Source organism: Homo sapiens, chromosome 5, assembly GCF_000001405.40.
Source record: "Homo sapiens chromosome 5, GRCh38.p14 Primary Assembly".
Classification (NCBI taxonomy): domain Eukaryota; kingdom Metazoa; phylum Chordata; class Mammalia; order Primates; family Hominidae; genus Homo; species Homo sapiens.
Window position 1 is genome coordinate 158236105 of NC_000005.10, and position 15638 is coordinate 158251742.

Consider the following 15638-nt stretch of genomic DNA (forward strand, 5'->3'; position numbering starts at 1 on the left):
GGCTGGGCTGAGACCTTCCTTGCAAAATGCCTTAATCCTTGGCCTCTAAATAGAGAGTTATTTTCAATTTCTCCAGTTCCTAGCGTTTTAAATGGAAGTACTGTTCCCCTTAGAGCACCCAGTGGCTGGCTGGAGACCTTTATTGATATATATATAAATTACTCCAATCCCCTCTGCTGCCTACAGATCCAATCATATTGAACTAATGCGCATATAAATAAAAACCTGGAAGTGTGGTTTATGGCAATAAGTAGTGCAGCCGAAGTTTATACCATTCTGCAAAGACACCTTGATACATTGCTGATAATCTTCATAATGTGTTTAAAGAGGCAGTGTGTCAGCTCAGGCCAGAGCACCCTTGGAACTGAATGGAAAATCTGATTCCCAAGTTTTTGATTGACCAAGAGAAGAATCTGTCCTGCCACGAGGAGGCCCACCCCAGGCTGTAGAGGGCTGAATGGCTAGAAATCTTTTCCCAAAGTCACCAGGCTGTAAAGAGATGGGCTGGCCTGTAGAAAGTGCAGTGGTTGGTCCAGGAGTTCCCCTGTCCTTATTTTTTTTTGCAAGCCACGATGTGTGGTTAATTCTGACGGCAGCCTGGCTGCAGGGGAGTCACAGAAGGCCTCAGAATACTGAGGAATAGGCTAGGAATGTTCTTTAGAACAGAGACATTTTGCCCTGCAAAGATGTTCCAGACAACAATCTGGCAATGCTTCCACTCCTAGAGGAAAGTGCCCAGGTGATGTAACCTCCCTTATCTGCCTTCCTACAATGCACTCTGCACAGTACAGCCAACCCATCTTTCTAGAAGGTGAATCTGATCATGGCTGTTCTGCACACTCTCTCCCTCAATGACTCAATTCACCCTGTGAGCTTTGCAGGGTTTGGGCCATGCCCATTGCTACAGCCCTATTAAGTTCTACACTCCTTAGACTGCCTGCTGCAGCCACTGTGGCTATTCTATCTTTCACTTTTATTGTAAATGTTCTCTCTGCCAGGAATGCACAGTCCATGTACCAGCTCTCACCTGTTGACTATTATCTTGCCCACATCTTTTGTTCTCTTTAGGAAGTTCCCCCATCTCTTTGCCTTTGCTTCTCAGTACTCCCTGGGCCTGAGGTGTATCTCCTGCTCTTTCTGAGTTCTGCCCCTGCCCTCAATTCAGCCTCCTTATTCATACACCTTCCCCTGAGCCTTCTAGCTGGAAATTATCTCTCCCATGCCTCTCTTAGTGACCTAATCACTTTCAACTTAACAACATATTGGTTAATATATATGGGTTAATTTGCCTCCTTGTATGGGTATGCCTGGGACTGATTTATCTTTGGATTCTTGGTCCTGCCTGTAACAAGTGCTTAGTGTTCTGTTCATTGGCTGCACGAAAGAATGAATGCACGGGCATTAGCCACAGCAGGAGATGCCAGTCCTGGACAAGGACTCAAAGGGGGGACTTTAGGTAGTGGGTGTGAAAAAGCCTAAAGGTATGGGTATGCCTGGGAGCCTGGAGAAGTGGGGTGTGGAGGGCAGGGGTTGGCAGATAAGGCTGGGAATGGGATGAAGGTAGGGTTGGGGTTGAAGGTAGGTAGGGAAGGGTGTCCCACTCTTGGACATTATGCCTAGGAAAAGCCCTGAAGCTGAGCCCAGAGAGGAAACAGAAGGAAAGAAAATAAGCAAAACACATTGTTCTCACTTGGGGTTATTGAAAGTGGCTGTATCTCAGAGATTGAACACAACAATCCCGCTGGAGTTTGGGGAGATATATTAGAATTTGTATTTATATATAGTTCTCATTAAAAGTTTTCGTTTTTCGATATGTTTTAATATGTATCTATAGTGTTGTGATATATGTATGAAATTTAAAAATAAATACATTAAGATATTTATATACTGGCTTGGATGACACAATTTTTAAAAAACTAATGGAGTATGTAATCCAAAAAGTTTGCAGGCTGTAGCTTTAGAGGCTCAATCCCTGTACTAAGGCAGAGACTGCCGACAATCTTCCAACCTCAAGCTGATGTTTAACAATTTCATCTATTATTTAGGAAAAACATAAGAAGGGTCCTTTGGTTTACTTTTATTTGTATGCTGTCTTAGGATCCCAGCTAAAGTTCAGTGTATTGTCATAATAAAGTACACTGCCTTGGGATTGCTTAGCCCTTGTTTTAAATTCTGGCTCTGCAACATAGTAGATCTTGGGCAAGGCAGCTTCTCTGGGTCTTGGTTTCCTTATCCATAAAATGGGTTTAATATTAGTACCTGCCTCATAAATGAGATAATGCTTGTGAAACCCTTAGTAAAATACCTGGTATATAATGGATGCTCATACATTGTAGCTACAAAAGGAGTCCAGAAATATCAATCAGCTAGTGATCACTTCTCCATCCTGTGACCATAGCAGACGTCACTAATTGATCCAGCTTGTTTTCCTTCTGGACCTAGACTAGACCTCAGAATTAGGTCAAATAATAAAAAATTTTTCCCGGGGGCAGTTGCAGTCTCTGAAAAGCATTTTTTCCAAAGCTGCTAATGTACAGAAGCAACCCTGTGGACCTCTCCAGCAGCAGGAGAGATCCCAGTGAGACTTGAAGAAGAGCTTTTCCTATTTAGGATCCCAGTGGGATGTTATCAAGAAGGTCTTTGAAAACTTTTCCCTAGGGACTTTTTTTGGGCTATGGCAACAACAATGAGGATAATGCCACACATTTTGAACAGTGCTTTATAGTTTTCAAAGCACTTTCATGCACATTTTTAAACTTCATCTTCATAGCAACCCTGCCTGACAAAGCAGAGAAACCATTAGAGTCAGACAAATAGCATTTTTTTAAAAAGTGAAAAGAACCCTAGAGACTGTCCAACCTCCTCATTTTATAGACAAAGAAATTGAGGCCTAACAGAATGACTTGTTCCAGGCAAGATTCTTGAAGTCCAGATACTGATATTCTGCTTCTTGGTATCACTCAATGTGCTTAGCACATGCTTAGTAAAGATTCGTTCCAAAAGGAATGAATGAATGAACAAATGGATAAATGACTCTGTGAATGAATGTAGTCTCTTAGTGGCCATATCAAGACCACTAGAACCTTTTTTCTGTGATGGGGAAAGAACTTTTTTTCCAGAAGCCTTCTATAGCTATGAATTCCTATTGCCTGTATTTTCACCTGGGAGTCCCTGCAGGTTCCAACTATGAGAAATGGTCTAACACAGATTTTGGCTTTGACCAGAAGCTGTGAACTTTTGGGGAAGGGAAACACCACCTTTGGGAAAAAGTGCAGATGGGGAGACTTAAAACTCCATGATGCCTGAGACTTGGATGGAGAAGGAACATTTGGTGGTGACCATTTTGAAATGTTAGGCTCTTGAAATTTTAACAATCTTGTAAGATTGAAGCTTGCTTTACCTAAGGCTATAGCAGTGCCTGGGTCCCCCTCTTTAAGGCTCACCCCAGTCCTTCCCCACCCCCAGGTCTCAAGACATCCCCACCTGATCCACTTGGTGTTTCCATAAGTTCCTCTTTTGGGGGGAAGTGAGCCCACATAAGGCTGACTTTGTGGGAAAGCCTCACTTGGGTTGGCTCTATGATATGAATGGGTCACATGGAAATAATGAGTGTAGTTTCTTTGGTGTTTGAGGAGACGGCCTGACCCCTATTTTTTCTGGGAGCTAATTTGAATGAATTTCTTCCTTTCTTTGATATCGACTCTCTCCTGGGCCTTATGAATACAGAATTTATAGACAGTCAGGAAACGATTGCGAAGTGAGGTAAGACATCCATAAGTGAGATAATTAAGTGAAAATTTGTAGATTTGACTGAAGTTGTTATAAAATGAGTCACAGTTATAGCAATAGGAGCTTAGTGAAGGAGTCACTGGGTTATAGCATGGAACTTGAACTGGATGCAAAAGAGTTTTTTATATATATATATATATATGTTTATATTATTTATTATTATAATAGCACTTACTACATGCCAAGCCCTATTCTTGGTAATTTGTCAATATTGATTTATTTAATTGTTGTAACAAGCTTATAAAGTAGGCACTATGATCATCATTTTATAGGTGAGGAAATCAAGGTAAAGGGAGGTTAAGTAACTCACAAAAAGTAGAGGTGGAATTTGCATCTAGACAACCCAGTGTCTATAATCTTATCCACTGTGCTGTGCTCTCTCTCTGGGTATGTGAGATTTGGAACGCAGAGGAGGGGGGCAATGTGTGAACAATATGAGGAAAGAGTTGGTATTGATAGTGCACCTTGGTCTGTTTGTGCTACTATAAGAAAACACAGACTGAGTATTTGTAAAGAACAGAGATTTGTTTTCTGGAGGCTGGGAAGGCCAAGGCACCAGCAGGTTTGGTTGTCTGGTGAGGGCTGCTCTATGCCTCCAAGATGGCACCTTGCTGCTGTATCTTTCAGGAGGGGAGGAATGCTTTGTCCTCACATGGCGGAAGGTAGAAGGGCAGGTGAATGGAACGCTGTGTGAAGTCTCTTTTATTAAAGACTTTAATCCCATTCATAAGGGAAAAAAACCCCATAGCCTAATCACCTTTTAAAGGCCCTACTTCTTAATACCATCACATTGGCTATTAAGTTCCAACACCTGGATTTTTGAAGGGGACATATTCAAACCATAGCACAATGGGTCCAGTCTATTCAGGAGAACCAGCTAGGTTGGAGTGCAAGAGGTTAAGCTGGAAATACCAGCCTAGAGATGTAAAAATAGGTCAGTGGGTTAGAGTCTGATAATAGTTTTCTTTTTCTTTTTTTCTTTTTCTGGAGATGGAGTCTCACTTTGTCACACAGGCTGGAGTGCAGTGGTAGGTCATGGCTCACTGCAGTCTCAGCCTACTGGGCTCAAGCGATCCTCCCACCTCAGCTCCACAAGTAGCTGGAACCTCAGGTGCATGCCACCATGCCTAGCTGATTTTTAAATTTTTTTGTATATTTTTGTCACTATATTGTCCAAGGTGGTCTCAAACTCTCAAACTCAGGAGGACTTGTAGAGACTAGTCCTCCTGCTTTGACCCCTAAAATGCTGGGATCACAGGCATGAGCCACCGCTCCTGTCATGATTATAGATAGTTTTGTGGTCGCACAAATTCTTTGATATTTTTCCCTTCAAGAGATGAAGGAATATGATATGAGATGGACTTAGTGACTGACTTCTAATAGAATATAGCAGAAGGAGTTGGGTGTGATTTCCAAGACTAGGAAGTTACTACTGTAACGGCATTGTGGCTTCCTCCTCTTTTTCTCTCTAAAGTTTCTCACCTTGGGAGATGCAGGCTGTATGCCATGAGGAGACTCAAGAAGCCCTTTAGAGAGATGTCCATGTGGGAAACCAAGCCATCCATCAACAGCCATGTGAGTGTGGCATTTTGGAAGCAGATAATCCATCTTCAGTCAAGCCTTCAGATGACTGCAGCTCTGGCTGACAACTTGACTGCAACCTTGTTTTAATTCCTAAGCTTCTGGATTCCTGACTTACAGACACTGGAAAATAATACTCATTTGTTGTTTTAAGCTGCCAAATTTTGGAGTAACTTGATCTATAGTAATAAATAACTAATATGGTCTTCAGTGCTATGCTGAGAATTGCGGAATTTGTTTTCTAATTCTAGTACTTTGCCTAATACGAAGTTGAGAAATGTGTCCTAAATTGAGTTGTTGATACTAGAGAGCTGCTGGAGGGTTTTGAGCAGGTGAACAACATGATAACAGTAATCTTTTAGATAGATTAATAAAGAGTGGGTGGGCGAGATGAATTGGGGAAATAGGGAGTGCTTGTGGTAGGGAGGCAATTCAGGATTTTGAAATGGCTCAAGCATGTAAATGGATTGGTCTAGGGTGAGGCTTAGGGTGGGGAAAAGAAATGAAGCAAATATAAGTTCTGTGAGAGCTGGGTCCTTGGCTTTTTTTTTTTTTTCCACCAGAGTCTTGGAACCTTCCATACTGCATGGCACATAGTAGGCACCCAGTAAAATTTATTGCACGGATGATTGAATATGTGAGTGAGTGAATAAAAAAGATGGAAATGTAGTGCCCCAGAAAACTTTGTTTCTGCTTTTGTTTAGAAATGAAAACCCTCCAAATATTGCATAGGTAATGTCTGAAGTAGATTTCAGTTACCTCAAACTCTATTTTCAATTTCCATGATTCTGATTGGGACCAGCTTGTTTTCAAAGCCCATTTCCATTCTGAAGTTGATTTTAAAACACTCTTTTTCTTTTCATATCATTCCTGACACAAACATTTATTGAGCATCTATAATATGCTTGGCATCGTGATGGGCCCTGGGGGAGAAGATGAGTGAGAAATGGTCCTGTGGAGTGTCAGTATTTCTTTCTCTGCTTTTATCTCTAGGCATCTCAGAAGTTTATTTTTGAAATAAAGATTCATTTTCTAAGTGGAATTCTTAAGTGGGGAGCGATGAGATGAATTCGGGCTTTTAGGAGCTGATTTTAGAACTTGTGGATGACTTCGACTGTTTCCTGCTCATCCTTGCTGATATGCCCTATTAATATTCAAAAGCTGTCACTTTATTTTATCTTTGTTCTTTAGTAGACTAGACTGCTGGCTGAGAGAACCTAGTTTGTCTGGTTTAGTCTTGTCACATTTGTGGGGTAGGACAAAAAGAGACATGGCCCAAGGTTGTTAGGTTTTTTTTTTCCTCCAGTTTTGGGGAGTTTCTGCATATTTCTCTTGGCATCACACTTTATTTAATTGACTTTTGTCCCTTTTTCTTGTAAATAAAATTTGCTGTTGCTAGGAAAAAATCCCAGACATGAGCAAGACCTGCTGTTGAGTGGATGGTTGCTGCAGGATGTACCATCTGGATTTGAGGGAGTCCGAGAAAAATCTCTAGGACTGATGATAATATATTACAGGCAGAGTCCCCCTTACTAGCAGGCACTGCCAGGAATGCTGTGTTTGAAAGGACTCTGATGTGCACTTGGGCTTGGCAGGAAAGAGGAGAATGCGGCATTAGGGATGACTGTCGCTGGTCATGAGCTGGGGACTAGCAGAGCGTGTGTTTGGAGTAACTGTTGAAAGTCTGGGTCTCAGCTTAGGCATTCACAGTAAGAAACCAGATGCATGGAGGCTGAGATAATTTCATTTTCCTTGACTAATTTTTCTCCATCTCTTTTCCATTTTCTCTGTCATCATTTCCATCTTTCTTCGCCCACTTCCGTGCTCTTTTTTCTCCTGCCCTATTGTTTCTCTTTTTCTTCTCCCTTTGCCTCTGCTTACCTCTCTTTCTACTGACATGAAGAGCACCTTTCCATACCCACCCTGGTCACACACTTTAGAAAGCTATGGCTTTTCTCTGCTAGTCTTGGTACAGTTCAGAACTACTTAGTGCTTAGGTTGATGGGTGGATGGCTTTACAACTGCCAAGGCTTCATTTTGCCTCTGATCCTTCTGGTCTTCTTGACATGCTGGCACAGGCACTAGAGGAACCCTAAGACGTGCAAGTCCACAGCCACATACCTGGTCAAGAAGTTGCTGTCAAGACATGGAGGATATACAAATAGTGACCCTCTGTTTCCTCTCTCCATTTGTACCCACACTATGCATAATCTCTGCGGGGTGTTCCTCTTGGCTCTTCTCATCAGAAGTAAATTCGTTTAACATTAAAAAAAAATCTAAAAATATTCAGACACTGGACTCTAAAGGACAAACTGTATTTCATTTAAATTTGCCTTCCATTTAATTCAAGGCGGGCATGCTCGAAGCTGCTTCCTCTAGCAGTGGCAGACTCAACTATTATCATAATGCTGTCTCCCTTTTTTTCCCTTCTCCCCATTTGATAACCACATTTTACTCTTAAATATTTAGTTTTCTTTTATTCAACCTTTTAGGTTACTATATTGGTGTAGAAGGGAGGGGGGAGAGAGTCTTTTTCTCATTCCAGTTGATATTCATCTGTCTGCCTAAAATTATTTTTTTTCTTCTTTTTTCCTTTTTCTTCTTTGTCATTTACCACCATTTTGGCTGGTGGGTGTAGGGTATGTTTTTTTTTTTTTTTTTTTTTTTTAACCTCTAAGCACATTGAACGTCTTTAGCTTGTACATTAGACAGGAGACTGATAGGATAATGATGATGGAATGTTAAATGCTATCTATGTAAATCAGCTCCTTCAATGGGTACAAGATTCAGCTACTTTAGGTCTTTTTTTATTTGACATACATTTTCATTTTTTTTAAGGAGAATAATCTTGGATTGTTATTAACCTACTTTAGAAGAATCTTTGCATTACCAGACACATTACTATTTTGCATAAAGTCATATTAAATTTTGGTATGATGTACAACATCATTTTCTCTTAAATGTCGCTTTTAACCTCCAAGTAGTTTCTTTTGTATCTTTGGTCTAGGATTGGTTTCTTGTAGCCAGATTGCAATCAGGAAGTAGGAAGGAAGAAATGAAGATCTTTACATGCTCTCTGTTGGCAGGGGAAAGGAACTGATCTTTTCTCCATTTATTTGAGGCATGGAAATCAGCTGGCTAGATTCTTTAAGGGTATGTATATTTTGAGGTAATAAGAGAAACCCCTGGTATATCTTTGAGTTCCAGAACAAAGCCGATGAGAGCCCAGCTTGCAATAGGATTGGATTCAATTAAGGCCATTAGAATAGTTATCATGCTTTTGGTTGCCAGTGAAAGACCCAACACGATCTGATTATACACAAGGATGCAGGTGGTCTCAGGGATGGCCTGGAACCAGGATCTCAAGAGACCTCATCAGGTTTCCCTCTTCTCTTCTTTTCCCTACTCTTCGCCCTCACCCCTTCCCATTGTTCTTTTTGTATCTGTCTCTATATACCTTTCTTTCCTTTTTCCATTCTCTCCCATCGGTTTCCCTCCCTCTCTCCCTCAATTCCCTATCTCCTCCACCTCTCCCTTTATCTCTCCTCATCTCTTCTTCCACCTTTCTCCACTCATCACTCTGTACCTCGTTTCTCCCATTTTTCTCTCTCCATTTTCTCTTCTTTCTTTCTCTCACCCCATTTCTACTCCCATCTTTCTCCCTCATCTTCCCCCTCTCTTTCATGGATTCTTTGTCTCCTCCCCATCTCTTCTCCCATGTCTCTATTTTTCCATCTTTCTCTTACACTTTCTCCCCAAACCCTTTCCCATATTTCTTTCTTTCTCTCCTCCAACTCATCATCCCTCTGCCCCACCTCTAACCCTCTCCTCCACACCTTGCCCCATCTCTTGCCTGCTCCACACAGACCTGTTTAGTAACTCCCTGCACATATTGGGAGACATGGCACAGGCAGCTCCAGTTTTACATATTCCCAGCTTGGCAGCTCCAGAGAAAGGACTGTGCTCTTTCCCTAGGCTTCAGTTTTATATAAATTTCAATGGAGATTTTAATTGACCTCGCTTGGGTTTCCCATCCACTTCTTGGGATTAATTCATTTATGCCAGCAAAATAAGAAGCTGTCTTGCTTACTTGGGTCAAATGCCCATCCATATGGCCATTGGTGATGGAGATGAATGTAAGGTGTTTGATATGTGGCCCCACTATAATCATTTGTAGTAGAAAAGGAGCTGTTTCATTAAGCACATGAGAATGTTACTAACAGAAGAAACAGGAAATAGACTCTGGGCAGAGAGAAGCAGCAGATGTCTACTACAGCCACCAAGGCAGGGGTATGGGAAGAAGAAAACTGCCCTCCATACCATTACACTGTCCTGTCCAGATGGTGTATATTGATAGTGGGGTGGGAGGGTATGTCTTTCTAGTGGATATAGCTGACCTTTTCTCATTTGGTTTTAGGAATCCTTCCAGTTTGTTGGAAAAGACTCATTTAAAAAATCCCTTTAGTAATCTTTCCACCTTGTTACTAATGTCTTCCACTTCCCAGCCTGTTATGAGAGGGTTGCTCCAGCTAAGTCAAAATAGCCACACATTTCTCACTCTTGGTTTCTTTCCCCAGGCTTCTTCTCATTCTAACTGTACCAACTCTATACTGTTTCCTGAGATGCCTCAATTCCCACAGGAGACATGAGCTAAGCCCTCCTTATCCGTGGCTCAACCTGAAATGGGTGGGCATATTTCAAACAAAGAAGCAAAAAAAAAAAAAAAAAAAAAAAAAAGAGAGAGAGAAATGAAATAATCACAGGAAGGAAATAATTATCTAATATAGGGGCACTCAGAATTGCAGTGGGAAATTTGGGGAGCTGGGATGTAAAGGTGCATACTCAGTCTCATGGTGCATCAGTGGTTTTGGATTGATTTACACAGAAGGAGATGGAATCTATAACAAGATAGGAGAAAGAGAACAGAACAGTGAGGCTGGAGGGTGCTGATGATACATTTTGCTTTCTTTATACTAGTTTGGAGGTGAATGTCCTTTGCTCAACAGAAACATGCTAGGATTTTGGAGCTTGGGTGGGGAGAGTGACAAGCACACCTTTAATTAGGATGGAAAGCATTTCGTTAGATTTACTTCCTTCAAAATACTTTAACTGAAGAAAGCCAACCCCAAAGTTGAGTTGAGGCCAATTCAATTTCTTCCTAACAAATAGAGCCAGGAGTGCTGATGATGTATGTCAACGGAGAATGCAACCTCATGGGTCCTTCTCAACATGCTTATGGAGGAGGTCATGGGGCAAGAGGGAAAACTGGGCTCAGCAGGGTGGTGCTGAGAGCTCTATTTCCTCCACCAGGCTGTTAATAGCAGTTTCTGGCCGAGCCTGTGGCTCAAGCTGCCCATTTTGAATTTGGCTGGTGACTCCTCTGGGCAGGCTCTGTGCGTTTGCCTGTTTGTGTTAGAATGCGACACATGGACCCAGCAGTCAGCCAGGTGCCAACCATGTAATCCGACGCCATATGTTCCCAAGTCAGGAGAGAATAGAGCAGATTTTTTTTTCTCAATTTTGGAAGTAGGTTAATTACATTCATCTACATTTTCAGCTCTAGGGGTCACAGATGCTAAATTATTTCTGACATATTTAGGTGGTCATTTATGACCAAAATTATTAAGTGTGAACTTTACCATCTATGGGAGGGTGCAAAGTCCATATTCCTAAAATGAGACCACATTTCAAAAAGATGTTCCCTTGGTGAAAATGTTTCTCATTGGCACTGCTTTTAAAATGGATTTAAAGTGTTGTTTTGAGGGTAAATTGGTGCTTCTCATTTTATCAGCCTGTTCCTCTGCCCGGATGTTGGTTTGTTTGTGGTATTTACCCAGTTTTCCAGCGGATGTTAATGGATACAGCCAGTTGTGTCCTTTCTCTGCTGCTTTATGTTCTTCAAGCTTTAAGTACAAAACCCTAACTTTTGAGTGAAAAATGCCTGTGTGACTCAGGGTATTTAACCAAGGCAAGTGAATGGCGGTCTTTCACATGGCTAATATTTATGGAGCATTTGATCCGTGTCAAGACACTGCTGAGATGTTTAAATGCAGTATCTTATTCAATTCTGGAACAACTCATGTGGCAGAAACTCTTGTTATCCCTGTTTTGCAGTTAAGACATTGGATGTGCCTATTACCTTCCATTAGCCTTTCCAGATGTGGACCTCACACTGCACCCTGCTCTGTGTCTCAGTAGGCTGATCAATATGGATTACATCTGCAGTCCCCTGCCCTCTGGCTTATTTTGAGGTTTGGTCACTGAGGATCTTGGAGAAGGACATTGGAGGGATAAGGGGAGGAGAGTGGAGTAGAACTAGGACTAGAACTTGACAGTTTGCATATGAATCCAATCCCTGTGCTTACAAGCTATATTCTCTGAGTAAGTTTCTAAGCATCTTTGATCCTCAGATTTTTGTCTGTGAAATGGAGATGATTCTTCTTATTTCTTGGATAGTGGTGGGGGACTATTCAGTTAGATGACGTACATAACAATATCTAGCCAGATTTCTCATTGTAAATATGTATATATACATATATATATACACACACACACATATATGTTTGTATTTATGTTTATATACATAAACATATATATGTGTTTGTATTTATATGTTTATATACATAAACATATGTTTATGTATATAAACATATATATATATGTTTGTATTTCCTTTGCATTTTGAAGTAGTCTGTGGGGGTGATACTTTGTTACTATAGTCTATTCTCTAATGCATCAGATGCCTGTATCCTGCCCAGATCCCCCTCACCCGTCTGGGAGGTCACCTGCATACAACGAACCACTGCCACAATCTCCCTGCCAGAGGGAGTGTGCTTTGCCTTCAAGAGGAGCATGCCAGGGATGCCCATGTTTCTGTTGACTCCTGGATTTTAAAGGTTTTCTTAAAATTTGAGATTTTTCAGATTTTACAAAAATTTGAATTTTGTCAACTGCCTTCTCAGTATTTATAGTTCACATGATTTCCCTCTTTGATTTATTAGCATGTCGAATTACATTAATGGATTTCCTTGTGTTGAACTCTCCTTGCATGTCTGGAACATTATTTTAATTAGCTATTTGGTTCTCTTTGCTAATATTTTATTTATTGTTACATCCCTATTTACAAGTGAGATTGGTCTGTAGTTTTTGATACAATCTTTACCAGATTCAGGTATCAGTGTCATACTTGCCTCAAAAGGAATTGGGAAAATTTTATTCCTTTTTAATTCTCTGGACCAGCTTAAGTAGCACTGGGATTACTTCTTTTTGGAAGGTTTCGTACAGTTTGTGTATGAAATAATTTAGGTTGAGTGCTTTTTTATTGTTAGTTTTTGTTTGTTTTGAAGTAGGTCTTTGATAATTTTGTCTATTTCTTATAAGAAATTGGTATGTTTAAACTTTCTCTAACTGGAATCAATTTGGGAAGTTGCCTTTTTAAATAATTATTTGGCCGGGCGTGATGGCTCACACCTGTAATTCCAGCACTTTGGGAGGCCGAGGTGGGCGGATCACGAGGTCAGGAGATCGAGACCATCCTGGCTAACATGGTGAAACCCCGTCTCTACTAAAAATACAAAAAAAAATTAGCCGGGCGTGGTGGCGGGCACCTGTAGTCCCAGCTACTTGGGAGGCTGAGGCAGGAGAATGGCGTGAACTCGGGAGGCAGAGCTTGCAGTGAGCCGAGATCACGCCGCTGCACTCCAGCCTGGGCGACAGAGCAAGACTCCGTCTCAAAAAAAAAAAAAAAAAAAATAGAATTATTCATTTATTTAGGTTTTTAGATTTCTTACAGAGTTACACAAAGTGTTTTCTAATGTCTTCAGTTTTCAGTTTCAGTGGTTGTTTGCCCCTTGCCATTTCTTTTTTATGCATTTGTGCTTTCTCCCATTTTTTTCCTTGATTAAGCTCGTGCTTTGTCTGTTTTGTTGATTTCTTGAAAGACCAGTTCTGTTATTCAGTTTTATAAAGCATTAAATTCTGCTATTTATTTTCTTCCTTCTGCTTTGTTTTGATTTACTTTATTATTCTTGTTCCAGCTTTTAATTTGGTTGTTTAATTTATTTTCATTCTTTTATCTCTACTGGTTTCTGCTTTAGTTGTGTCCTATAGATTCTGATATGTAGTTTCTAAAAATTATCATTCTAACATTTTCTTTAGCACATATTAAATTTTTATATATCCTCAAGTTTATTCATGTTCTGTCTCATCTGTATCATTTACGTGTCCATCTATTTTTTCCAGGATGAAAATTTTTAAGTCACTATAGCTGTATAACACATTTGCTATATAACATATATGAAGCAAGTCAGTCCTCATTCCCTTCTTTTTCTTCACATTTGTTTGTGTGGTTTTACTTGCTGGTGAGTAGTTTTACTAAAATTGACATTTACAATTACTTGTCAAATTTTACTGGGATTGCATTGATTATGTAGATTTGCTGGGGAGAACAGATACGTTTATAATATTGAATCTTCTTACCCCAAAACAAGTTATATCTCTTCATTGTTTGTTTTTTAATGTCCTTCAATAGTTTTATTTTTACTTTTGCACATGTTCCACCAAACTGTTGTTTTATTTACTCCAAGTTTTAGGCTTTTCATTCTTTATTATTGTTATTATTATTTTTGCTAGTGTGAATGGAAAATTTTCCCCCTCTATATTCTGTAAGTATTTACTGTTCATTTATAAGAATGGCATTGATTTTCATATATTTCTTATGTAACTGGCTTTATTAAATGCTTTTATTTTTTCTATGATTTTTTGTTATCTTATGCTTTTTAGGTATATAATTATTAAAATAATGATAACTGAGCATTCATTTTTTTTGAATAGTCATATCTATTATTTTGTTGCTTTTACATATGCTGACTGGCACCTTTTAGAACAATATTAAATAAAAAATGTAAAAGCATGTCTCACATTTATTGCTGACTTTAATGGAGATGCTTCTAGTATTTCAGTAGTTAGCATGTTTCTTAATTTGAGAGGTTACATATGTCTTTTTTCAAAAAGGAAGTTTTTTAAAAGAGGGAGCATAGCCCAGTAGCAGAGCATTTGACTGAAAAAAGTAAAAGTCAGGTTTTTTTTTTTAAGTTATAGGTGAATTTAAATTTTATCAAATGCTTTTTGACAATTTTCTAGGCAGTCATATTTTTCTCCTTTGACTTATTAATATGATGAATTTCATTAATGAATATTCTAAGATTGAAATATGTTTGAATTCCTGGAATGAATCAATTTGCATAATATGTTGTATTCTCATTGTTAACATTTTATTTAGGATTTTTTACATGGATATTTAAAAAATTAGGTTGGTTTGCCTTTTTATCTTTGTAATATTTTAGTATCAAAAATTTAACTCAATGAATTTCTAATAGTCTTATCATGTGAACATGCCATAAATTAATGCTTCAAATTGTTTCTTCAATATTTAAGGACATTTATTTTGCTTTCAGTTTTCACCACTGTAAATACAGTAACAATGAATACTCTTGTTAATTCCTCCTGCCCTTTAGGTCTCGGCTTATTCACTACTTCCTAAGAGAACCCTTCCTGTCTCCTTAAGTACACTGAATTCTCCAGTTACATGGAGGTATGTTTTCTTCACTGCACATTTTTGCCAGGAATCTACATTGAGTGCGTTTATTTGACTGATGTTTGCCTTTTCCAGCAGATGGTAAGTACCGTAAAGTCACGGATCATGTCTAATAGTGCTCATCACTACATACTCCAAGGATTTCTGTTCCTGGCCCATTGTATATGCTTAATAAATGTTTGTATAGAACACCAATTACTATCTGTCTAAAGAGGATAGGCCTGTTACATAAAAGAGAATATGTTTTTTTTCCTGGCTGCTTGTGTATATTGAGATGGCAAATTTGTTAGTTGGAGCTGGGGCTGGACTGAATTGTTTTCATAATTTAGGAGAGAGGAATTTGGTTGGAGTTGGAATGATGGAGAAGGGTCAGTGGACAGGATTAGAAAGGCTGAGATGCATGATGGGGAAATGGAGCCAGAGGCGCTCTGGAGCTGGTATGAAAGGAATAAGGAGCTTCAGAGAAGGGGATTTTCTTTTCTTTTTTCTTTTACTTTAAGTTCTGGGATACATGTGCAGAGCGTACAGGTTTGTTACATAGGTATACATATGCCATGGAGGTTTGCTGCACCTATCAACCTGTGATCTAGGTTTTAAGCCCTGCATGCATTAGGTATTTGTCCTAATGCTCTCCCTCTCCTTCCCTGCCACCCCACAATAGGCCCCGGTGTGT

General features: G+C 39.6%; 1 long non-coding RNA gene across 1 annotated transcript; it reads left to right on the top strand.

The window, feature by feature from the left end:
* Nucleotides 1-5278: 5278 nt before the first annotated feature.
* On the top strand, nucleotides 5279-15421 carry LOC105377678 (uncharacterized). Its single transcript, XR_001742535.2, has 3 exons — nucleotides 5279-5364; nucleotides 13612-13730; nucleotides 14886-15421. It is a non-coding gene; the product is annotated as an uncharacterized LOC105377678 (long non-coding RNA).
* Nucleotides 15422-15638: the final 217 nt, after the last annotated feature.